At 45.4% G+C, this 26,321-nt stretch overlaps 1 protein-coding gene and 1 long non-coding RNA gene across 3 annotated transcripts; one reads left to right on the top strand and one right to left on the bottom strand.

Moving 5' to 3' along the window:
• SCP2D1-AS1 (SCP2D1 antisense RNA 1) lies at positions 1-20,853 on the top strand. 2 transcript variants are annotated; one of them, NR_161343.1, is made up of 3 exons: positions 1-161; positions 4,856-4,938; positions 20,089-20,853. It is a non-coding gene; the product is annotated as an SCP2D1 antisense RNA 1 (long non-coding RNA). The 2 variants fall into 2 exon arrangements; NR_161342.1 differs by having other exon boundaries at positions 1-185.
• On the bottom strand, positions 15,826-16,421 carry SCP2D1 (SCP2 sterol binding domain containing 1). Its single transcript, NM_178483.3, has one exon. The coding sequence runs from the start codon at positions 16,386-16,388 to the stop codon at positions 15,918-15,920; it is 471 nt and encodes a 156-aa protein (NP_848578.1). The 5' UTR covers positions 16,389-16,421; the 3' UTR covers positions 15,826-15,917.
• Positions 20,854-26,321: the final 5,468 nt, after the last annotated feature.

Genomic DNA, 26,321 nt, shown 5'->3' with positions numbered 1-26,321 from the left:
GAGGGTTCTCACCCCCCACTCCTTGAAGTCTGGCCATTTGGGTGGGAGAGGCTGGAGCAGCCAGTGAGGACACTCAGCACAGTGTGGGCAACCGGACAGGATGGATTTGAATTTATAAAGAACCTGCCTTCCTTCCTTCATGGTCCAAGCAAATGTTCCAGGTATTTAAGCCACATGCTGGAGAGGTAAGTTAGATAAGTTTCATGCTGGAGAGACAGGTAGATGGGACACAAATCTGGAAACTACCCATCAACAGTAGAACAGATAAATAAATTGTGGTATAGTCATAAAATAACATGTGATACAACTAAGAGGATGAATGAGCCAAAAGATGTGCAACAAATGCGTGAGTGTTACAGAGACAGTGTGGAGCCGAGGAATCCAGACACAAAATCAGAGTGCATGATTTTGTTTATGGGACAGCAAAACTGGGGAAACTAAACAATGTTATTTTTAAGTCAGAATTGTGGTTTCCCTGGGTTGGAGGACTAAGTAGGGACAAGAAAGAGGAGAAGGGACATCTGGGGTGCTGGAAGGGATTCTGTTTCTGGATCTGGAAGTTGGTTTATGAAAATACGGGTGCCTGTAGTTTATGAAACTTCATCAAGATGAACACAGGATGCATGCACCTTCTGCATTATGTGTGTTATTTGTCAAGAAGAAGTTTGTTAAAAGGAAGATCCTTCCTGTGGATCGTATGGGGCAAAAAAAGGAAGATCCTTCCCTTCAGGTTGCAGAGATGGGGAAGAAACCCAAACAGGCTGGCTACAGGATCTGAGGGAGGAGACTACATTAATTTTTTAGCTTCCACTTTTATCAGCCTGCTCAAAGCAATGCCCCAAACAAATTATATATTCTATGTCCCTGCAACTTCATGAAATAGGGATCTGCACACAAAAAAAGTGTTCCCCTGAGAGCTCCAGGAAATGGGTTTCACACACATCAATCAAGACTACAAAGGGGGCTAGGCGCGGTGGCTCATGCCTGTAATCCTAGCACTTTGGGAGGCCAAAGCAGGCAGATCACCTGAGGCCAGGAGCTCGAGACCAGCCTGGCCAATATGGCGAAACCCTGTCTCTACTAAAAATACAAAAATTAGCCTGGCGTGGTGGCGCGTGCCTGTAATCCCAACTCGGGAGGCTGAGGCAGGAGAATTGCTTGAACCTGGGAGGCGGAGGTGGCAGTGAGCCAAGATCGCGCCATTGCACTCCAGCCTGGGCAACAGGGCAAAAAAAAAGGTCTCCACTTCCTCACTTCCTTATTAAAGGAAGATTTGAAAGCATGCACACACACACACAAACACACACACACACACAGTCTCTAACAGCCATAATTTGTAGCCTAGGCTGAACCACAGCACTGTTTCAGTCATCCCATCTGCCCATTTTTTGGCCTCCGAGCTCTACCCAGCCGGAATTCACCCTATGAGCCCCGTTGAGCAGTAAGCAGTTATTTACTCCATCAATATTGACTGAGTACCCGCCACCATCCAGGCCCTGTGCTAGGTGTTTAATCTGGCAGCAATCATAGGAGGCAGGGAACATGATCCCCATTTTTATAGATGAAAAAGCTGGGCAGGGACATCAGAGCACTTATCCAAGGTCACAACCGGGTGGCAAGTGGGGGAGCTGCAGTTCACCCCTATGCACCATTCCTTGCTAGAAACTGTAGCCTTGATTTTCCAGTTATCTAATACTGCATAATGAGCCACCCCAAAACAGTGGCATAAAACCGGAACAATGATTTGCTCATGGATCTGGGGGTCAACTGGGCTCCACTGGGCAGTTCTTGCTCAGGGACTCCCATGTGTTTGCAGAGACATGCAGTGTCTGCGGCCCTCTCCAGAGATTCCTCACTGGGAATCCGGGCATCCCTGAGCATCTCTGTCTGGTCTCCCCACATGGGGACCTTGGGGTGTCAGAACTTCTCACAAGGGGCAGAAGTCTGCAAGAAACCAGCAGAAGCCTAGAAAGTCATGCAGTATCACCTCTGCCACGTTGTGTTCATCGAGGCAGCCACAATGGCCCACCCCAGCTCAGAGGGAGGGGACCTGGATCCCACCTCTTGATGGGAGGAGTAACAAAGAATTTGCAAGTGTTTAAAACCACCACAGCTGATAAGTTTGTCACAGTGGATATTGACCACGATGACTGTCTTCACATTTCCACTCTCTTCCTTCACTTCTGATGTGCATTTTAATGCCGTACTTCCTGCTTCTGAGTTTGGCCATATCACTTGCTCTGGCCTGTGGGATGTTAGCCCAATGATGCGTTTCCCCTCTGCCATCATCATGGGGAAAATGTGCCCGGACCATGCCACTGGTCTAAAGGGGAGTGTCTCAGTTCATTTTCTGTTGCTTATAACAGAATATCTGAAACAGGGTAATTTATAAGAAGTGAAATTTATGTCTTACAGTTCTGGAGGCTGAGAAGTCCAAGGTTCAGGGGTCACATCTGGTGAAATCCTTCTTGCCAGTGGGGACTCTCTGAAGAGTCTTGAGACCGTACAGGACATTACGTGGCGAGGGAGCTGAGCATGCTAGCTCAGGCCTCTCTTCCTCTGCTTATAAAGCCACCAGTTCCACTTCTACAATAACCCATCAATTCATTAATTCATTAACCCATGAATGAGTTAATCTATTTGTAAAGAGAAGAGCCTTCATGACCCAATCACCTCTTAAAGGCCCCACCTTTCAATACTGCCACATTGGGGACTGAGTATCCAACACATGAAATTTGAGGGACACATTCAAACCATAGCAGGGAGGGAAAGGAGATGAGAGACTGGAGGGGCAGGGCCCAGCCAGCCTGAATTAGCAGATCCTCAGTCAGACCGCAGGTCCATGAGTATAATTCAGTGCTGTGCCTTAGCACTACTTATTGCAGAGTTTTGAGATAGCTTGTGACTCAGTGTTGCCGTGGCTCTAAGTAGTTTGGACACTGCCACTCAAAAAAGACATTGGAATCCAACTTCAGAGAAAATATTGGGAGATATGAGAAACCTTATAACTAATCATATGTCACAGAGTTGTTCAAGATGAAGAAAATATAAACAGGAGACAATTTTAGATACCAGCCAAGCTGGTCAGTGACATCTCGGAAAGTTTTTCAAGGTTCTGTGCCTATGCACCCCACCAAATGGACTTCTCCAAAGAGACTCCCACCAAAGCCATAACCAAGTCCTGCCCAGAGCTGTCTGCCTTGAACAACTCATTAATTCAGCTCATTGTGATGCTTGATTGACAGGGCATGTTTGATGTGCATGTGTATGCAAGTGTGTGTTGAGCTTTATGTGTTGTGTGGGTATGAAAATAGGAGAGCATCTCTGAGTGATTCTTTGTAATAAAGAAAAATGGAAATTCATTGTACACTGGTCAGTCATCTTGAACTCCAATACTGGCTATTTCTTTAAAATAAAAAAGGAAAGAAATTTTATTTTCTCTTTACTAAATAAATTTTCCTTGGAAAAATTATTGCCTCTACATTCTTGGTTCATTTATGCCACCCCATTTCTTATGGGGCCTCCCCTTACCACCACCCCAGTTTTATCCCCAAGAGACAATGGGAAGTAACTCAATCAATGAGAAGAGGCTGGAATCAGAGATAGAGACCTTTCAAGCTTGAAGGAATGTGAGTACACGTAATCCAACCCACCTGATTCCCTGAGAGGAGGGCCTTGAACCAAGAGAGGGCAAGTAGCCTCCTTGTGACCACACAGCGAGGCTAAGAACCAGCTTGAAGTAGAGCTCAGGCCTCTTTCAAGAGCTTCCCTGGAAAACTGGTGAAGCCAACCAAAGCACAGTAGCCATGGTTTTGCGTCATTCAGTTTTTCTTCTGTGGATTTGAGTTCATTCATCTCTAAAACGCATGCCCTGGATTAAATGAGTTTCAAAGACCTGTCTAGCTCTTTGATTTTTTTTTTTCTTTTTTTTTAGTAATTTAAAGAGGAGGTCAGGAACACTAGATCTCTCTCAACAAGACACCTGGAACCAAGCAGACCCATTTCCAAACCTCAGCTCCACCATGACCTTGTGTTGTTATGCAAGTCACTTAACTTCTCTTCCCCTAAGTGACCCAGTAGGCAGAGAAAGTACCTACTGTGGCCACACACAATTCAAAGGCACTGAGGGATTTTTTTTCCAACATAATTTGCTATATGGCAGTTTTATTTATTAGAGAGATACTTTCCTGAAGACCTCATGTAAATCCCAGCTCACTGAAGTCCAGACCAACCTTTCCATAGTAACAACACAAAGCATGATGGGTTTCCCTCTTAACAGCTGAGAGCAGCCCCATCTTGGACAAGTTTCAACAAAGCTCACAAACCAGTCTATCTTAAGGCCCTTGAAATTATGAGATTCCCAACTCTCTTTAATCTCTTGGTATTCTATTTCATATTTGGGTTGTAAAGTGAGACTTTATTTTTATTTTATATTAAACTCAGAATCATATAGTTCAAATTTACATAAAAAGAACCACAATTATGTACAATAATGTTTCAAAATACACATCAAACTAGTCATTGTGGAGAAACACCCAGAACTTGGTTAATCTATCTTGCACTTGATTTATGGTTTAGCATAGTTTTATTTTTTAGATTTTTAGTTACATGGATTGGAAGTAGGGGGAAGCACCACCACCTTTCTAAAGCCAAAACCTCAGCAGGTTTTCACCCTCCCAGTGGAAATGGAGCTAATTTCAGAAGTAGTGGTGACAAGAAATAAGATGATACATGTTAAGCCCTGAATGCAATGCCAGGAACATAGACAAATGTGCCCAAAACACCACCTTTTATTGTTATCGCTGAGCTAACTTTCCTTTTCTTCATTAACTTTTAAATACTGATCTGTTTTTAGGATTATAAATATCCAAGGGAAACAGAGACCATCTGGAGTCATCCCTACGTTGTGGAGGGGTCCCACAAGAGCCCATTAGAGAGGTAAGGATGGCATTGTGGATCTGGGCACCAAGTTCTCTCATCCTCCAAACCACTTCCCATGGCGCCACACCACCAGCCCACCCAAGCACACCATCCCCTGTCCACATATGTGTGGCCTTGGGATAACTTTAGACTTGGAATAAAAGGCGGCGCCACTGGGAAATGCAAGTGGTGGCTTTCCTTCTTCCCTGGGCCGTTTCTCCCTTTGAGTCTGTTTAAGGACCTATTAGGCTGTGGCTTGGAAAGACACTGAGATGAAGCCCTCAATTTCATGGAGCTGGGTTTGGGTTTAGGTCCTTGTTCACTGTCCCTTCATTGATGTCATAGAGCCACCTCCATCTTGATGGTCACCATCAGGGCTTGGAGGAGTCTGGGGTTACACATTTCAAGATGGGGAGAAAACCTAAATCTTTCTGGCAACTCCAGCCTTAAGGGTGCCATTGCCCACCCCAACTTTCTTTTCCAGAATAAAATAAGGCCAGCATGGAGTCCACACCGTAGCAGGTGGTTCCAGGTCTCAGGTCATGTAAGGATGACCACCAGAGTTCTGGCTTCAGTCTACAAAGCTGGGCCCCAGGCTCCAACCTTCTGCCACTGACCCCCTTTCTCCATCTTCACTGGTCTTGTTCTGTTCCTGGAACTCATCGTGCTCTGTGAGCCACAGGGCATTTACACATGCTGTTTCCTCGCCTGGAACGGTCTCATCTCTGCCCTGTCTCAGGGACCTCTCACTCATTCCTCTGATCTTGTTCCTCAGGAAGTCTGTCCTAAGCCCCTACCAAGTCTATGAAGAGCCCCTCAGCTTTCCCTCCTGAGCCCTCACTGTGTGTGTAGCCAGGCACCACACTGGGAGTTCCCTGAGGATCGGAGGTGTATTACTCCATTCTTACACTGCTAGAAAGAACTGCCTGGGACTGAGTCATTTAAAAAGGAAAGAGGTTTAATTGACTCACAGTTTCACAGGGCTGGCAAGGCCTCAGGAAACAAAACAATGGCAGAAGGGACAGTAAACACGTCCTTCTTCACATGGCATCACGAAGGAGAAGAATGAGAGCCAAGTGAAGAAGAAAGTCCCTTATAAAACCATCAAATCTCATGAGAACTTACTCACTATCATGAGGACAGCATGGGCGAACCCATCCTCTTGATTCAGTTACCTCTCACGAGGTCCCTCCCACCACACGTGGGGATTATGGGAACTACAATTCAAGATGAGATTTGGGTGGGGACACAGCCAAACCATATCAGGAGGTGTCCATTTTGCTCAGCCTTGCATCCCGTACTCTCAGCACAGGGCCGAGAAGGTATATTAGGTAGTAGTTGCTTGGTAATTATCACAGAATGAATGAATAAAGGAATGCTTACGGGCTCAAAACATCAATGGGTTTTCCCTTTTCCTCATGCAAAGAGCAGAATTCCAAAAAAAGGGGATGGCCAAAACGGGAGGTACTGTCCCTGGACTGCCTTCCCAACTCCAGACTTCTCAAGCTCCCCGGAGGCCCTTCTGAATCCCACCCCTAACCGCACTCTGGAGGCACCCCTGTAAAGGCCTGATGTTTTTATGGCATCTCAAGGCTTCAGAGGAGACCCCACACCAGGCCCTGCCCGCAGTAGGCTCCAGTCCTGCTTTGCAGGCCTCAGGGTCTCCAGTGAGAAACTTGCCCAGCTGAAAAGCTATGGAGCCCCTTTGCCTAAAAACTATGCTTAGTACCTGGGGACAGGATCAGTCGTCCACAAGCCTCAGCATCACGCAATATGCCCAGGTAACAAACCTGCACATCTGACTCTAAAATAAAAGTTGAATTTTTTCTTTTTCCAAAAAAGAAAAAACTCGCTTCAACTTTGCTCTTTTCTTTATTGATGAGGAGTAAGAGAAAGCACGGGCTCCACTCTCTGCCGGCTGAGATCCCCACCAATACGAGCAGTTCTCCAGAAACAAGCATGAAAACCCTCCAGAAAAACCCACCATTACCCCACTTCATCTCCACAGGCTACAAAACAACAGCAAAGGCGCTTTGAGACAGAGCACTTTCTGATTAGTCCTTTAAGAGAAAACCTTTCCTCAGCAGGAAATGATGTTCCAGAGGCTGCTGGACAGAAATATAGAAACAACTATAATCCAGCTGCCCCTGAGTGAGCCACGCAGTCCCTCAACACAGCATGTTCCTTAGTTCCTCAGGCCCACCCAATCTCTGTGGCCACTCCAGGACCCCCCACCAAGAGCCTGCAGGAACACCTCCCAGGGCCCCTTTCAAGCCCATTCCAGGGCCGCCTGCAGATCTCATCCTGGGCTTTGGGAGCCTTCAGCTGTTTCCAAGAGTTAACTAAACATCAATTTAATTACACTGCTGGGCTATATAAATATTATGCTCTACAAAATGGTACCAAGCAGATATTTTTAGGAGGTCACAGATGTTTCTTGTGATTAGCCTAGTTACAGATCTGGAAGAATTTTTTTTCCTTCAAAGAAAAGTCAGTGAGGATTCTCAGCTGTCATCTGGGGGTAGTTCCCAACATGGTTAAGCACTGCGCATGTTAATGGCACACCTGGGAGACTTCCTTTTTGTCTCCTCTGCCCTGTGGCTGTCAGTTTCCCTCTGAAACCCAGCAAGTGGGGCCCAAAGTCTAGGATCATGGAGGAGGTCAGAGGCCCAGTGAACCAGACACCAAATCCCAGCAAGGCCTGTTTCTCTACCTCTGGACTTGCCCTGCCTCTCAATTCATGCCACAAACATTTATAAAGCACAAGCTGTGTGCAAGACACCACACTGTAGCTGCCACTGCAAACTGGGATAAGACACTAACTAATATTAAGTGGCAAAATGAGACTTCTGTTCCCATAGGTATACAAGAGGGCTCACAGCAACGCTATTTAAAATCACCCTAAACTGGAAACAATCAAATACAATGGAACACCACTCAGCAATAAAACAAACGAGCAGTAACTGTGCACAACAGTGTGGATGGATCTCAGACACAGAATTCTGAATGGAAGGCGCCAGACACAGCGGAGTGTGCACTGCATGGTCCCATTTATATAAAGCACAAAAGTAGGCAAAACTAAAGTCTATGGCGTTAGAGTCAAAATAGTGGTTATCCTGGAGGCAACAGTAACTAGAAGGGGGTGTGAGTGGGGATTACTGGGGCGCCAGTCATGCCTTATTTCTTGAGCCACATGTTGTGTTGGTTACACGGGTGTTTTCCATTTGGGGAAGTTTGTTAGCTGCACACTTAGAATGTGTAGACTTCTTCCTATGTATGTTATTCTTCAATTTTAAAAATGCATTAAAAAATAAGTAAATAGGCTGGGTGCAGTGGCTCACGCCTGTAATCCCAGCACTTTGGGAGGTGAGGCAGGTGGATCACCTGAGGTCAGGAGTTCGGGACCACCCTGGCCAACATGGTAACACCAGTCTCTACTAAAAATACAAAAATTATCTGGGTGTGGTGGTGCACACCTGTAGTCCTTTAGAAGCCTGAGGCAGGAGAATCACTTGAACCCGGGAGGCAGAGGTGGCAGTGAGTTGAGATTGTGCCACTGCACTCCAGCCTGGGTGACAGAGCAAGACTCTATCTCAAAATAAAATAAAAATAAATAAAACAATAAAGTAAATAAAAGCAACTTGCCCAATGAGGCAAGATCCAGCCCCAGGCAGTCTGCTTCCAGATTTCGAGTTCTAACTGCTGTGTCCTGGTGCCCCTTCAAATGCAAGCGCTGCTGGAGATTGCCAGGACTCAGCACTTGCTCTGATCCTTCTCTGGACCTCATCATCAGAGTCTGCTGCAACTGACTTCCAACTGCTGGAGGGCTTTCTCTCAAATGCCCAGACCCAGGGAATCAAAAACCCCTGTCCCAGGAGCAGCCCTGTATTAGTCAGGGTTCTCTTAGAGGGACAGAACTAATAGGATATATATATATATATATATATATATATATATATATATATCTAGAAGATTACTAAGTATTAACTTACATGATTACAAGGTACCACAATAGGCTGTCTGCAAGCTGCAAAGCAAGGATAGCCAGTCCCAGTCCCAAAACTGAAGAACTTGGAGTCTGATGTTCGAGGGCAGGAAGCATCCAACACGGGAAAAAGATGTAGACTGGGAGGCTAGGCCAGTCCCTCCTTTTCACATTTTTCTGTCTGCTTTATATTCGCTGGAAGCTGATTAGATTATGCTCACCAGATGAAGAGTGGATCTGCCTTCCCCAGCCCACTGACTCAAATGTTAATCTCTTGTAGCAACACCCACACAGACACACTCAGGATTAATACTTTGCATCCCTCAATCCAATCAAGTTGACACTCAGTATTTACCATCACAAGCCCTCAACCAAAGACTGATGGGAATTAGTTTAAAAATTCTGTAACTCCCTCTTTCCTTGGGCTGGACAACACTGAGGGGTGTTCTACCCTGTCTCCCTGAACTGTTCTGTGGGGTTGAGCCCCTCAACAATGACCTGCTCAATAATATGCCCTGTATCACCTTCCTTCCCTCCCTGTCCCACTGCCCCACTCCCCAAGGGATATTTCCTGGAATCACCACACAAATCCACAGCTGGCAGTTGCATCTTTGCCCCAGGGCCTGCCACTACAGTGTGAGGTTCAGGAAGCCCCTTCTCAGAGAGGCCTTCCCTGGCCACCCAGGCCCCCTTAGCCACATTCCCTTCCCTTCTCAAGTGTCTTCTCTGGTTATTTGTTTGCTGTCTATTGCTTGTCTCCCCACAACCCACCCACAACTCCCATCTGGAAATACAAGCTCCTGGAGAAAAGAAACCTCAGCTTGCTTGCCACCAGCTCCTCAAACCAAGAGTGATTTCCAGAATGTTTCATAACCATATGGCAAAGGGAAAAAAACCCATCAGAACGGGTCACTGAAAACCAGAATGGTGTTTGACCAATTGGAACCAATTCTGGCCTCATATATCCCAGCTTACTATCAGCCCTGCCAAAAGTAATTAACTCCTAAGACATCATGAGTGCTCAAAAATATTTTTTAGGCAAATAGATTAATTGCTCAGTCAGTCAGTGAACAGAAGAAACTGGCAATTTACAGCTAAAAATCCAAGATCTTCGCTAACTTAAAACCTCCAGAATAAAAACCTTGCCCTCTTTGGTGGTGCTGTCCTGGAACTTGTGCCAAAACACATGTGAACAGATCCACCCATGGGAGCTGAGACAGTCCTACTTCCCTGTTTCTTGTTTGGAGAATGGAAAAAATCACCTGCAAAATCGTGAGGTCCCTAAGAGTTGCCCTAGGATCCAGAATCTCAGTCTGGTCTCCATGCAGCCAGGTGCACCTCACTGAGACTCCCACAGGGGCCGTGAGCCATTTGCTCCATCCTTCCTAGGGCACAGTGCACATCTAACCCTGTTCAGAGACAAAAGAGGTGGGATCTCTGGGGGCAAACTGGGAATGTCCCAGATAAGCCAGGGCATTTGTGTGGCCCACATAGGACCACACCCATGCAAAGGCAGAACACAGAGCTGGAAAAAGGAGAGGTATACAAATTGTAGGAGAGAAAGACAACAGCTCAATCAGGGCAGTTTCCTGGAGGATGACCTTGAGAACATGCATGGAATGTAGATGGTGGAGGCGGGGGAGTTGGTAGGATTATGGCCTCCAAGAAGATCCTACACCTCAGTCTTCAGGACTGTGGCTAGGATGAGATATCACACCCATGAATACATTATTTGTCTTTGTGTGGGCTCTATCACAAAGTATCATAGACAGGCGGCTTAAACAACAGACTTTTATTTCTTATCATTGGAAGCTGGTAAGTCCAAGATCAGGGTGCCAGTCTGGTGAAGGCCCTCTTCCTGGTGTACAGATGGTCACCTACTTGCTACATCCTCATTGGCAGAAAGAATAAGAAAGAGAGAGGGGGGAATGGAGAGAGAGAGAGAGGGAGAGAGAGATAGAGAGAGAGAAAGAAAGAAAAGAAAGAGAGAAAGAAAGACAGAAAGAAAGAAAGAAAGAGAAAGAAGGAAAGAAAAGAAAGAAGGAAAGAAAGAAAGAAAGAGAGAAAGAGAGAGAACGAACGAGCGCTCTGGTCTCTTCCTCTTATAAAAACACTGATATGGTTTGGTTCTGTGTTCTCACCAAATCTCATGTCAAACTGGAATCCCCAGTGTTGGAGGTGGGGCCAGGTGGGAGGTGATTGGATCATGGGAGTGGCTCCTTCACGAATGGCTTAGCACCATCAGCTTGGTGCTGTTCTTTTGATGGAGCTTTCACAAGATCTGGTTGTTTTAAAGTGTGTAGAACCTCCCCTGCCCAATCCTTGCTCCTTCTTTGGCCATGTGAAGTGCTACTCCCCCTTTACCTTCTGCCATGATTGTAAGTTTCCTGAGACCTCGTCAGAAGCCAAGCAGATGCCAGCATCATGCTTCCTATACAGCCTGAAGAACCATGAGCCAATTAAACCTCTTTCTTTATAAATTACCTAGCCTCAGATTTTTCATATAGCAATGTGATAACAGACTAATACAGACACTAATCTTATCATGAGGGAACCACTCTTGTGACCTCATCTAACCCAAATTACTTCCCAAAGGCGCCACCTCCAAATACCATCACATTGGGGTTCAAGGTTTTGACATATGAATCTGGGGTGACACATTCACTCCACAGCATTACCTCACATGGCAGAAGGAATTTTGCAGACATAATTAAGATTACTAATAAATTCACATTAAGATAGAGAGCTTACTATGAATTATCTGAGTGGCCCGGTATAATCACGTGAGTCCTTTCATGAAGAGGCAGAAGATGAAGACAGAAGAATTCAGAGAGATTCAAAGCCTGAGAAGGGCTCGACACACCATTGCTGGCTTTGCAGATGGAGGAGCCATCTGGCCAGCCTCAAGTTGCTGAGAGCATTCCCAGCTGATAGGAAACAGTCCTATCACCACAAGAAGGTGAATTCTGCCACAACCTGAATGAGCTTGGAAAAGATTCTCCCCTCAAGCCCCCAGAGAAGAGCCCAGAGTGGCCAACACCTTAAGATCAGCCATGGGAGCTGAGACGGCAGCTCAGCCTGCCTGGACTTCTGGCTTCCAGAAGCTGTGAGTTAATGAATGGGTGTTGTTTTAAGCCACTTAATGTGTGGTAATCTGTTACACAGCCATAGAACACTGACAGGCGAAGAGTAAGACCATGTATGGTAGGGAGCCACGGTCATCAGCACAAATACCCACAGGGGCCCTGCAAGGCTGGCCCAGCCCAAGGAAACTGCAGCCACCAACACTCACCTTCAGAGCCAGGGAGGCCAAGCTGGGAGGAGTGGGCCTCGGTCTGTCTGGATAGCCCACCCGCTCCACACCCGCAGCCGTTGCCTGGCAGGAATACAGGCTCAGTGTATCCAAATGACCGAATTTTTAAAGAGAATACAGAAATCCAATTTTTTATATACAATGTCCTAATTCAAACTTTACTAACACTGTGTTGGCCCACCTTGTATAGACCAAACAAAACACAGATGTGTGTTTTGAGCCACATGTGATCTTCTAGGGCACCAGCCGAGTATAGGAGAAAAAGCAGGAAAGTCCCTAGAGGCAGTGGGGAGCCAGCCTAAGTGCCTGCCCTTCCTCTTACCCAGCGGAGAAAGGGACTCACATGCACAGGAAGCCCACTTCCAGCTAGGGGATCTGTTGGGCCGCCCGAATGAGGGCTCCCCAGCAATCCACCATCACGAGGGCTCCTGGTCCCGTTTACAGATGAGGAAGCTTGGGCAAGAGGCGGTTCAGTACCCACCTGTGGTCAGGCAGGTGTAAAATGGTGATGCTGGGCTCAAAATTCCGCTTCTGATTCCAGAATCTGAGTCCTTCCAGCAGCTTCACGTGGCATTCAGCATTGAACGTTTTCTTGAGATTGAAAGGGGTTTGCGGTCATGTTTCCGAGGCCTGGGCTTCCCACTCCTCGCTTGTTGACCACCTTTCTCTCCCTACTCCAGGCTCCTGCCCCTCCATCTCTCCAGCCCCTGCCCCATGGCTGCCCTTCCTCACAGCCCCTTCCTCACCCCCTGCATCCCAGCCTCTCCCATTCCATTCTCGCTGCTTGATTGTAGCTCAGGCTCTCACTTTCCCAGTTCCAAATTCTTGAGAAAGGAATCGAGTTAGCTCAGGTCACTTTTTTTGTCCCAAGTCAGAATGGGTCATAGGTCAGATGCCAGCCCAGGCATGAGCCTGCATAACCCCTCTGCCCACTCTCCCATCTCTAAGCAACCCCCATCTCAGGGCCAAATGATTAACACATGGTATGAGCAGGACTCCCAGGTAGCAGGGGCTTAGGTGAGCCATTTCCCTTAAAAAGGAATGTGGCACAGCTGGGCACAATGGCTCACACCTGTAATCCCAGCACTTTGGGAGGCTGAGGTGGGCAGATCAGCTGAGGTCAGGAGTCCAAGACCAGCCTGGCCAACATGGTGAAACCCCGTCTCTACTAAAAATACAAAAATTAGCTGGGCATGGTGGCAGGGGCCTGTGATCCAGCTACTCGGGAGGCTGAGGCAGGAGAATCGCTTGAACCCGGGAGGCGGAGGTTACAGTGAGCGGATATCGTTCCATTGCACTCCAGCCTGGGGGACAAGAGTGAGACTTCGTCGCAAAAAAAAAAAAGAAAAAAGAAAAAAGGAATGTGACACAATGGCACCCCAAACACCTGCCGGCCCCATGCCTGACACTCAAACATGGTTGAATGGGAGTGGCCTGGGCCAGTGGAGCTGAGTGCTCACAACAGAGCTCAGAATCCATTGGAAGCCTCTGAGACATTCACAGGCTGGGGGCACTGACAGGGACAAGATGCAGATCACCTCTATAATGACGCACATGAGAGAAGAAGCCAGGATGTGCACTAAGTCCATGCCCATCCCCTTAGCAATGTCTAACTGTGGAGTAGAGCACTCTCAGGACAAATGATCTCTTCGTTTCCCACAGAGAGGATGACATTTTGTAAGCAACAAGTTCTCACTCTGCCTTTCTCTAATATGAAATGGAGGAAGGCCTCTGCAGAGCCATCCAAATAGTCAGGAGCTGAACACTAGACCAAGATGAGGTGAGAGGGCTCATCTTGCTGAGAGAAGGGGAGAGTTGCTGATCCTTCCTCTTCAGGAACACAGCCACACAAAAGCCTTATTTCTAAGGGAGGGTGGCAGGTTCTTAAAAACAACCTGATTAGCTTATATGACACATAATAAACTGCATGGGTTTATATGCATTGCACAAGGCGATGCTTTGACTTGGGAAAACATCACCACAATTAAGATAATGAATATACCCACTACCCCCAAGTGTCCTCATGACATTTGTCATAATCCCCCCATCCTTCCTCATTTCCCCATGCTCCTGTCTCTTGGCAACCACTGCCTTTTTTTTTCTGTCACTACGTTTACATTTTTTAGTATTTAATATAAATCGAATCATGTAGTATGTGCTCAGTCTTCTCTGTCTTCTTTCACTCAGCATAATTATTTTGCCATTTATCCACATTGTCATTTGTGTGTATGCCAATCATTTCTTCCTTTTCATGGCTAAGTAATATTCCATGGTATGACACCGCACAATTTGTCCACCCATTCACCTGTTGATGAACATGTGGCTTGTTTCCAGTTTAGGACTACTCCCAACACAGCTGCCATGAACATTCACATGCATGCGAGTGTTTATTTTATGCTTGTACATATGCTTTCTTTTCTCTTAACAAAATACCCAAGAACAGAATGGTGGGATTATTTGGTAGGCGTGTATTTGAGCATGGCAGTTGTGATGAAACTTCCACCCAGGTTTCAGAGTGTCCACACTGTGTAGGTGTTTGAGCATGGCAGTTGTGATGAAACTTTCCTCTAGGTTTCAGAGTATCCACACTGTGTATATTTAGCCCACAAGTCAAAGGTACACACAAACCACATGTGAACCAAGAACACACACACACTCACCCACAAGGAGTTTGCATCAGCTGCAACAGACTTCATCCTATCCTCCCAGACAACATGTGAAGGGAGCTTCCGGAAGGGAAATCTCCCAGGCTGCCCTCTGATTTTGTAAAATGTTCAATGCACAAGCTCCTGACAGCATGGATACTTTATAAATGGCTCACAGAGGGCTGTGGGGTCTGTCTCTGGGAGATCCTTTAATTAATGGCACCATCTCATTGGCCTAGAATAGAATAGTTACAGTCAATACTGAGAGCTTTGGCATGAAGTGAAGCAGAGCTGGAATTCTCTAAGGGTGGTGCCATCAGCATCCCCTGGGAACTTGTTAGAAATGTGCATTCTCTCCAGCCCAGATTTCCTGAGTAGAAGCTCTGAGATGGAGCCCAGCAATCCAGACTTTAACCAACCTTTCCGGTGATTCTGATGCATGCTCCAGTTAAGAACCACTGGCCTAGAACACCTCCCAAGCCCTTCAAGTTTCTTGGAATTGAAACCATCAGAAATTATAATACACCAACAGCACCATCCCCTCTATTGCCTGGGTTCCACCCACAGACCTGTGGTGCCCCATTCCCTTAGCACCCCACAGTCTCATAGTAAAGTTTCCTCATGGAATCAAGTTACCATGCAGAATGCACACCTGCACAATGATAGTTATCACTTCTTTCCCCAAAACATCAAACTTTTTTAGAAAAGGAAAAATGTCTCAAGAACACAATCATTGGAGTATTTAATTCCAATGATCATAATCACCCATTTCTTTACACGTGGCTCTCACCCTGGCATAAATGGAGCATAAAGGGCATAAATGGAGCTAAAAAAAGAGAAAAAGACAAAGATTCTAATTGATGCACTACAACGCTTTTTACTGCTTCAGAACCCTCCCTGAAAATTTACCCATCAACAGGAAAATCAATTAAACTTGAATAGGAAGAATTTGAGTAAAAATATTGGATACTTTTTACTTTAATCTTCAGATTAAGCATGATTTCCACTCGACATTATCATCGAAGAGAAGTTCTTCCTTGGTATTTTTGCATGCTTAAAATTTAGCCCAGTCTTTGAAAACCCTTTCCAGCTTCCAGCTAAGCAGAACCTTGCCACTCACTTTGAACTTTCCGGCAAGGAAAGCCTTCTGCGGGTTCATTTTGCCCAAAACCAGCTCCATAAAGACAGACTCCGGGATTGTAAAGACAGTGTCTGCTGGGAGCCTGGCAGGTCCCGGATACATGTCCCCAGAACCATTCTTCAGATCAATGGTCCACCGCAAAATGGTCTTCCCATTTTTGGTGATGTCCAGCTGAAAGACGGCATTGACTTTCTTGACCAATTGAGCTCCCACTTCCCTGATGTGAAGCCTAATGTCCTGAAACACTGGGAAGCTCTCAAATTCTGACAGCTCTAGAGGATGTGGCATGGCAGGTTCTGGAACTGAACCCAGAACCTCGAACTGGCCCACCAGAGGTCCATCCTCTGCTTTGATCTTGGGTTGATGGTCACTTCTCTTCCACATCTTCCTGTGCTAGTCCCCTGGACCTTGCCATCTAGTCTGTGAGCAGCTGTGACCAGATTAATACCCACAGGTCAGATTGTGACATCAAAGGTAAGGCCAAGTGGGGACTGAAGCTGGTGTGTGTGCTACAGTCTTATTGGCCAAACAAATGATAACGTGTGACCTCAGATAAGGGCTCAGACAGGCCATTGTGAGGCAGATCCACACACACACGCCCCTCCCAAACCAATCAGGGATGTTGGTCCTGCAAGCCCAAAAGGTCTGCAGGCTGCAATGGGGTTAAGGGAAACTGGCCCCAGAAGCTTCTTTAGTGACATGAGCTCTGTCTTTCCAATGCAGACATCTCCTCAGTGAAACCCAACGTGAGACAGAAGTTATTCTTATTCCTCTAAAACTAGGTAACACTTAAGTCCCATTAAGTGGGTAATACTTAAGTTAATACTACAGATCCTAGTGCTGAATTTGGCTTTATCTGGCTGCTGGTAGAAAGGGAAATGCTTTTAGGCCAGAGTAATTGATTGGAGAAGGAATCAGTCCAGGAGCCTGCATCAGAAACTTTCCAGAAGCACAGTGAGACACACACAGAGAGATTAAATGTCCCTAAGATCAGAAGATGCTGCCAGTCTCCTCTGATAATTACACGTAATAGTATAGCCCTTGCTCTGGGCCAAGGTGCAGAGTTCTAAGTACTACACATGTATTAACACATTTAACTCTCATTACAACCCTCTATGATAGGTATTTTTTCTTTTTTTTTTTTTTTTTTGAGACAAGGTCTTGCTCTGTCACCCAGGCTGGAGTACAGTGGCGCGATCTCTGCTCACAGCAGCCTCTGCCTCCTGGGCTCATTTGATCCTCCCACCTCAGTCTCCCAAGTAGCTGGGAATACGGCGTGTGCCACCACACCTGGCTAATCTTTGTACTTTTTGTAGAAATGGGGTTTCACCATGCTGCCCAGGTTGGTCTCAAACTCCTGGGCTAAAGTGATCCACCTACCTCGGCCTCCCAGATAGGTATTCTTTTTATCCCCATTTTACATATAAGGAAACTGAGGGGAGAAATGAAGTAACTTGCCCAATGTCACACAGTTAGTAAGTAGTGTAGCCAGATTTGAGGAGAGGCAGAATGACTCCAAAGTCCACCTGTTTATTTCTTTACTTTTTATTCTGAAATAATTTCAGTCTTATAAAAAGTTTGCAAAAATAGTACCTGTTTAACCTTCTCCCAGCTTTCCCCAAAACTAACATCTTATATAATCACAGTACAGTGATCTAATCTGAGAAATTCACATTGGTTCATGACTACTAACTAATCTACAGACCATGTGAGACCATATCTATTTGGTTGCAGGTCTCCCTAGTGCCTTGCAGTCTGGGGCAGCTCTTCAATCTTTGTCTATCGTTACCTTGACACTTGAATACTGGCCAGTTATTCCCAAAAATGTCCCTCCTTTGAGGACTGCCTGATGCTTTCTCCTGGTTAGGTGGAGGTTATGCATTTGGGACAAGGATGCCACAGAGGTGACCTGTGCTCTTCCCACTGTGCCATAGCAGGCGTCCATGATGTTATGTCCCATTTCTGCCGATGTTGTCCTTGATCACTTGGTTAAAGCGGCTCCTTCAGGCTTCTGCACTGTAGAGTTACTGTTTTTCCCTCTGTGATTAGTATCTTTAGGGGAGGTGCCTTGAGACCTTGCAAATGCCCTGTTTTGCATCATCCTCTGGCCTACTCTTGTTGCATCCATCCATGGCCCATCCCTGCAGCAATCAGTGTGAGGTAGGCCCAGCAGTCATCTTCTATGCTTCTTACTCCCTTGAGATTTAATAACTGGAATTCTGCTCTAAGGAAAATTGCCCTCTTCTCTCCCATTTCTTTATTTGTTCAATTATTTATTTATCTCAGCATGGACTTGTGGGTATTTGTTTATTCTGTGGGTCATAATCTACTATTATCATTGTTTATTTCCTTGCTAAATTGTCCCAGATTTGGCCATAGGGAGCTTCATCAAGTTGGAGCCTGTATCCTTTCCTATACCAAACTGCTCTTATGTGTAAGCAAAGCTCTGTTATATGGAGTTGCTGGAAACTTCGTTCTTTCTGGGAATGTTGCAGAAGAATGAAAAAGGCTTCAAAGTACATTTGCAAAGATGGATGAGCTGCTGTTATCAAAGCTGAGCAGTTAAACAAAGCCCAGTGTCTTCCAAAACCATGTTCTTGCCATGAGGTCACCAGGTATGGACAACATCAGCACAGAGATTTTAAAATGAGGAGGGCAGGAATTCCCCAGCAAGTTCACTATAAGCAGTCAACAAAGAACTGAGCCCCACCACTGCCCGTATCTCATTTTCCTCAAAGACAGCGCCGTCCCATCTAAATTATTCAGGCAGGTCCCCAATAGGGCTGTCATTCTCCTGCCACAGTGTGTCCGAGGGGAATGCAGTTCCACAGCTCATACATAAGAAATCCAAAACATGCCAGGACTCAAGGGAGCACTTCCCCAACGACATTCTTTAGAATTGTCCTCCAATAGAAATAATAAAAGTAGAGACACTGTCTAGTCAGTTTTATTATTTAAATTCTCAACAGATACTACTGCCTTGTTACCTGCACCGTGGCAGGCTGCTTCTCCTACCTTGACTGCCACCCCATTGGCATCTTGAAAACACGCACCCTGCAACTGGACACAATCTTCCTCAGCCCTGTTGAGATTCTTTCCCCTTTGGTTGCCATTCAGACCCAAGGATCTGGTCCCAGCAGATTTGTAGCTTTTTGTTTCTGAATTCTTCAAATGCTTTAAAGGAATGTGAGAGGCATGGAGATCTGTTCCCTAAGAAATACAATTAAATTAAAATTTAAAAATAAAAAATTGCAAAACCATTTTATTAAATAGGATGCTTTTAGCTTCAAGTAACAACCACTACCATAAAAACTGATAATGGTTCAATTCAGTGGTCCCAAAATGGGGTCCCCAGGCCAGTGGCATCAACTCCACCTAGGGATTCATTAGAAATGCACATTCTCAGGCCCCATGCCAGATCTGCTGAATCAAAAACTCTGGGGAGGGGACCCGGCTGTATTAATCAGGGTTCTCCAAAGAAAAAGAACCAATATGATATATAGAGAGAGAGATGAAAGGAGTTATTATAGGAACTGGGTCACATGGTTTTGGAGGTCAAGAAGTCCCACATGCAAACAAGGGACACAGACAGGGGGTGTAATTCATTCCAGGTCCGAAGGCCTGGACTGGGGGGCGGCGGGGGTTGGTGTAAGTCCTGGACCAGGACCCCAGATGTCCAAAGGCAGGAGAAGATCCACGTCTCAGGCCTGGCAGAGAGGCTGAGTTCCACCTTCCCCTCACTTTTTGTCCCATTAAGACCCTCAATAGATGGGATGATGCCTCCCACATTGGGGATGGCCATCTGCCTTACTCAGTCCACCAATTCAAGTGCTGTCCCCTCCTTCTAGAAATGCTTCCATGGACACTCTCTGAAATAATGTTTTACCTCTGGTCTGGGGATCCCATGGCCCAGTCAAGTTGACACATAAAGTGAACCATCATGCCAGCAACTGGGGTTATAACAGGCCCTCCAAGGTCTGAAAATTGGGTTTTTCTACTATGGCTTGGAGAGGTCAGCCAAGACCTCTGTGCTGTGTCCACTCTTGCATTCTACCATCCTCAATGTGTTGCCTTTTGTCCCCAGTTTGTCACTTCACGGCTGCCTGGCTGCCATGGCTCCTTCCATCACATCCTCAGAAGACAGCAGCCCAAGCCAAAGGGACAAAAAAGACCTCTCCTTGGACCTATTGCTTACCAGAAAGAAAAGGTCCCAAGGCCTCCACTGGTCTCACTGGCAAGGACTGAATCACATGTCCATCAGGATTCACACCCCTGAGCAGGGCTCCCCGTCCCTTGGACAGAATTGGAGTTGGGGTAACAGGAAAGAAAAGGGTGTTGCACAGCGACAAGTGCCCACCACAGGTACCCACAGCTTCTTCCATTGCACCTCGGAAGGCAACAAGGAGAAACCCCATCATTTTTGAGAGCTTTGGTGTCATTACATTTCAATAACAAAGGTCATTTCCCTTTTTTGCCAGCCTCCTCATTGGGAACAAAATGTGGCTGGGGGCTTTCTTTCTGAAAGTTTGCAAATCCATCTCCCACTTGCCAACCCAGCACCTGGGCAGGTGTATTCACTCACAGGTGTCGGGCTGGCAGATGGGTCAAACAGAATAGGGGAATGGGATTAAGAAGTGTCACCCACCCCCATCCCCTGAATGGGAACAAATCTATGTCACCGAGTTTACCCTTGCTGTGAGGGCCTCAGACAAGGTGCCTGCACCTGGGTATCAGATGCAGTGAGAGGAGAAGGAAAGGACTTTCACCTTTTACTTTATATATTCTGCTTTGTTTGTAATGAGTGTGCACTCTCTCCATGGTTTCTTAATTGAATACAATTTTTCCAACATCTTATTCTTAAAATTTTTAGGCATATTTTGCAAAGTTGAAAGATTTCTACAGTCAACACTCAAATATTCACCAATATTCTATCATTGCACTATATTACACTTGTTTGAAGCTCTCCATCTTATTTTTATCTTATTTTTATGTTTCAAAGTAAATTACAGGTATCAGTAGCCCCCAAACACTTGAGTATGCAAAGCATTTACTACAGTACAATATTTCTTTAGTTTTTCATGTAAAATTTACACACAAAGAAATGCACAAATCTTAAGTGTACATTTGCTGAGAGTTGACCAATGCACACACCTGAATATAACACATTTTAGTACTAAGGAGCTGAATGCCACGTGGCCCACAGCCCCCAGTTGCCTTGAGAGACACACAGCCATCTGCAGTGTGTGCAGAAGCATGAACAAGCAGGAGCTGGGGTTTCTTCTTCACTCGTCAGGTGGAAGGCTGCTTCCTGGCAGCATGGGGCTGTCACCATGAGTCCCCAGAGGAAGGTCTGAAAGTGTCTCCACCAAAGACCCAAAGACCAGAGGCATAAACCAGGATCTCCACATTGAGAAGACATCATACCTTCTGAGCCTCGACACAGATGGGAAATCAACTTTTATGAACTCCTCTGAAGGCTTAAAATCTTTGTTCTGTGGGCCATCTGGTTTCCAGTAGGACCATCACCCACTTCCCTGGCCCCTGCTGAATCCAGTCACATTTTTAACAATGCTGAGCCCTGGCCTGGGTCCCAGAAATTCTCACAGGATTGATGATTCAATTGAGGGTTGGTAAGTACCAATCCTGCCCAACATAATGAGCTGGAGCCTGCATGGGATACACAGAAGGGCAGATACGTGATCCCTGCTCCCAGAAACTCAGAACATGGGCAGGAGAGATGCATACAAGTTTAAAAATCCAACTATGAGAAGAGATTGATAATAACTGCTTACGGAAGAAGACAATGAGGTAGCACGTCAGGATCCCCATTCTACACACCCAACAGGCAGAAGCCTCTTGTCTGAAACTTATATCATTTCCTGGAATCTTGTTTGTCTGCCCCCAGACAGAGAACCTGAGATATGAATTCAACGTAGCTTATTTGTGAGATGAAGTTGGGGGAATGGAGAAGTGAGATGGAGAAGGGAAACCAGCCAATAGAGAGTGTGTACTCAAGAGGTTACCCTGGGCTTTGGGAGGCCAAGGCGGGCAGATCATGAGGTCAGGAGATCGAGACCATCCTGGCTAACACGGTGAAACCCTGTCTCTACTAAAAATACAAAAAAAAAAATTAGCTGGGCATGATGGTGGGTGCCTGTAGTCCCAGCTACTCAGGAGGCTGAGGCAGGAGAATGGCGTAAACCCGGGAGGCGGAGGTTGCAGTGAGCCGAGATCGCGCCACTGCACTCCAGCCTGGGCAACAGAGAGAGACTCCATCTCAAAAAAAAAAAAAGAAGAAGAAGAAGTTACCCTGGGCCACTGGAGTTTAATCTTGCAGGAAAACTCTAGGAAACTCATGTAAGACAAGTTAACCCCACTCCCATGAGGGACAGGGGAGCTGGGACTTACCCAACCACTCCATCACCCACTGCTCCCAGGACATTAATTCCAGCATGCAGAGATGGGAACAAGGCAGGTGTCAATGGCCAGAGAAAGCCCTGGGGCAAGTGCAGCCAGCTGGGAGCCAGGCTGTAGGCACCACTGTGTTGGGGGCAGGGTATGGGTGGGGCATCACTAATGCCTGCGGTAACCAGGGATCACCAAAATCTGCTTTGGGATGGCATTTCTCTGGCCCCATTATGTCAGAAAAGAAATGGACTCAAACAGCATATAGCAGGAAGACATAAAAGACTACGCACCATTTGCTTCCATTTATATGAAGTTCTAGAAGAAGCAAACTAATCTATAATGACAGAAGGCAGAAGGCAGATTCATGGTTGCCTGGGACTGAGGGTTGGGGGACTTTCAGGGACTTTCTAGAATAATGGGAATGTCCTGTAACTTGACTGCAGTAGTTACACAGGGTGCACACTTGTTAACCCACCTCCCAACTGTACACTTGAGACCTGTGCTAAATTACTGTGTTTAAAATTAAAAATTTAAATTTAAAAATTTTAAAAACAACTCAAATAAATAAGTAAACTGCGTAACTATCTAGTCCTTTCAAGCTTTGGGAAAGGACTTCTGGACTAAGCCTCCACTTGGGAAGCTCTCCAAAATAGTTTTCCAAAGTACCATTTTGTATTCCCACAAGCAAATGCATGAGGATTCTAGTTGCTCTGTGTCAGGGACTGAATATTTGTGTCCTCCCAAAATTCAAATATTTATTAAATCCTAATCTCCAACATCATGATATTAGGAGGCTGGGACTTTAGGAGGCAATTAAATTGGGTAGGCTATGATGGGATTAATGCGCTTATAAGAAAAGAGGAGGCCAGGCACAGTGCTTCACACCTATAACACCAGCATTTTGGGAGGCCAAGGTGGGAGGATCACTTGTGTCCAGGAGTCTGAGACCAGCCTGGGCAACATAGTGGAACTTCATCTCTACAAAAAAAAAGAGAGAGAGAAGAAGAAAGAAGAAGAAGAAGGAGGAGGAGGAGAAGGAAGAAGAACAGAGAAGAGAGAATAACAGGAAGAGAGCCCCCCTGCCCATCCTGAACATGCTCTAAGCCAGAAGATGGCCATCTACCAGCCAGGAAGCGGGCCTTCAGGAGACACTGAATGTGCGGGCACAGTGATCTTGGACTTCCTGGCCTCCAGAATTGTAAGAAATAAATTTCTGTCATCTAAGCCACCTAGTCTATAATATTTTGTTACAGCAGCTCAACCTAAGACACTCTGCACACTTGTCAGCACTTGGTTGGTTGGTTGGTTGTTCCACCATTCATCTTCATCTGTTTTGTGTTGCTATGAAGGAATATCTGAGGCTGGATAATTTATGAAAAAAAAAAAAGAGGTTTATTTGGCTTATGGTTCTGCAGGCTGTACAAGAAGCATCTGCTTCTGGTGAAGGCCTCAGGCCCCTTCCATTCATGGCAGAAGGCAAAGGGGAACCAGTGTGTACAGAGATCACATGGGGGCAGCAAGGCGGGGGAAGGTGCCAGGCTGTTTGTAACAACCAGCTTTCTCAGGAATTAACAGAGCAATAACTCACTCGCCTCATCCCCGAAAAGGGAAGGCATTAATCTCTTTATGAGGTTATCCTCTCTTCATGAAGATCCATCCCCATGACTCAGCCACCTCTCATTAGGCCCCACCTCTAACACTGGATATCAGATTTCAACATGAGATGTGGAGGAAACACACATTCCAACTACAGCATCATTCTATATGTACGCATATATGTCTGCAGCCCACATATCTTTGAGTTCTAAGACAGTGACAGCAGCAACAGGAAACCTGTTCAGAGGCAGTGGTGAAAAATTTTTTTATATTTGATATGGCTTCAGGAAATGGCATGTATTACTGTGGGTGAGGCTCTTATCTAAGTAGAATTTCACCTCTTACTCTGTTGATGCAAAGACTGTGATAGGTCAAATTACAGGTCTTAATCCATCACACCTGTAGTGGGATTATTATGTAGTCGTAAGTGGAGCAAAATTACCCACCCTTGTGAAGGTGGCTGTGTCCGTGGGGTTTGCTTTGGCCAGCGGGATGTTATCGGACATGATGTGAGCAGAGGCTTGAAATGTCCTTGCGCAGTGGGGCTTTCATGCTTGTGCTTCTGCCATGGCCATGACAAGGTCATGCCCTAGGGAGCTGCTGGTCCAGGAAGGATGAGACACGTGTGGAGCTGACCTAAATCAGTCAAGCAGGAAATTACCATGTAGACCCACGAGAATAAATTCTGCTCATTTTAATCCTCTGAGCTTTTAAGTGGTTTGTTACTCAGCATTACTGTGGCCCTAACTGACTGTGGTAAAGTCCAAAAAAAGTAATAGCTGGGCTTGCAAACCAGTCCTTATGGGCAAAGTCTTCAGTACTTAAACAGACAAATCTTACTGAAGTTACAGCCTGCAGTCTTTCCACACAGCAGACAGACAGACACATTCAGTGCTAGGGCTTGGCTGAGATGATGACATAATGTTCCCTACCTGAGTCAGGCTCCACACACTCAGTTGCTTTTGTCTACACACTTGCTACTTAAAATGTTTGTGGACCAGCATCAGTGGCATCCCTGGGAGCTGGTTAGAAATATGGAATCTCAGATCCCACGCAGACCTGCTTAATTGGTGTCCACATTTTAACAAGATGCCCAATGATTCCTCTGCTCATTAAAATGTGTAATATGCTGAACTACAACACGAAGATAGAGAGATTAGATAGAGATAGATGATAGATATAGATATAGTTATAGACGATATAGATATAGATAAATATGATCCCCCACATACCTGTTGCATTCTCGCTGGTTTGAAAATAAAAACTATCTCGTAATTTGTCTCTAGGTTAAAGTTTACAACACACACACACACACACACACACACACACACTTTGGGAAAAACATGATTCAAACTGAGAAGAAACATTTAATTTAAACATTTTCAAGTAAAAATGTTTTATTTTTTTCTTCATTTGCTTTTTTATTAATAGACTTTATTCTTTAGAGCAGTTTTAGGTTTATAGAACATTTGAGAAGCATGGAAAGTTCTGAAACACTTCATCTCCCTGCTCCCCTGCTTAGTTTCCCCTATTTTTAATATCTTGCATCAGTGTGGTACATTTGTTACAACTGATGAGCCCATATTGATACATTATTTTTAATTAAGGTCCACAGTTAATGTGTTAAGGTTCACACTTAGTGAGGTACATTACATGGGCTTTGCCGAATGCATAATGTCATGTATCCACCACTACAGTATCATACAGAGCAGCTTCACTGCCCTAAAAATCCTCGGAACTCTGTCTATTCATCCTTCCCTCCTCCCTAACCTCTGGCAATCACTTATCTTTTCACTGTCTAAAGTTTGGCCCTTTACAGAATATCATATAGCGGAATCGTACAGGATGTGGCCTTTTCAGATTGGCTTCTTTCACTTAGCAATGTGCATTTTAAGTTTTCTCCATGTCTTTTTGTATCTTGATAGCTCATTTCTTTTCATCACTAAATAATATCATATGGCTACAACACAGTTTATCTATTCACCTACTGAAGAACATCTTGGTAACTTCCAGCTTTTGCCAGTTATTTAAAAAGCTGCTATAAACACTTGTGTGCAAAATTTTGTGTGGACATAAGCTTATGCTGTTTTATAGGTTTTTTAAAATACTGAAGTATTTAACAACTGAGCCAATTGTTGATATTATTATTATTGTTGTTAATATTTACTGAGCTATAACAATCCTCCAAGCACTGTAGTAAAGCCCTTTAAACCTCATAATATTCTGGGGTAGTTACTAACATTGTTCTCACCTTAGAAATGAGGAAATTGAGAGGCTGAGTAGCTTGTCCAAAGGCACATAGCTAACTACTTT

Source organism: Homo sapiens, chromosome 20, assembly GCF_000001405.40.
Source record: "Homo sapiens chromosome 20, GRCh38.p14 Primary Assembly".
Taxonomy (NCBI): Eukaryota; Metazoa; Chordata; class Mammalia; order Primates; family Hominidae; genus Homo; species Homo sapiens.
Note: the sequence above shows the minus strand (reverse complement) of the source record. Positions and strands in the feature narration are given on the sequence as shown.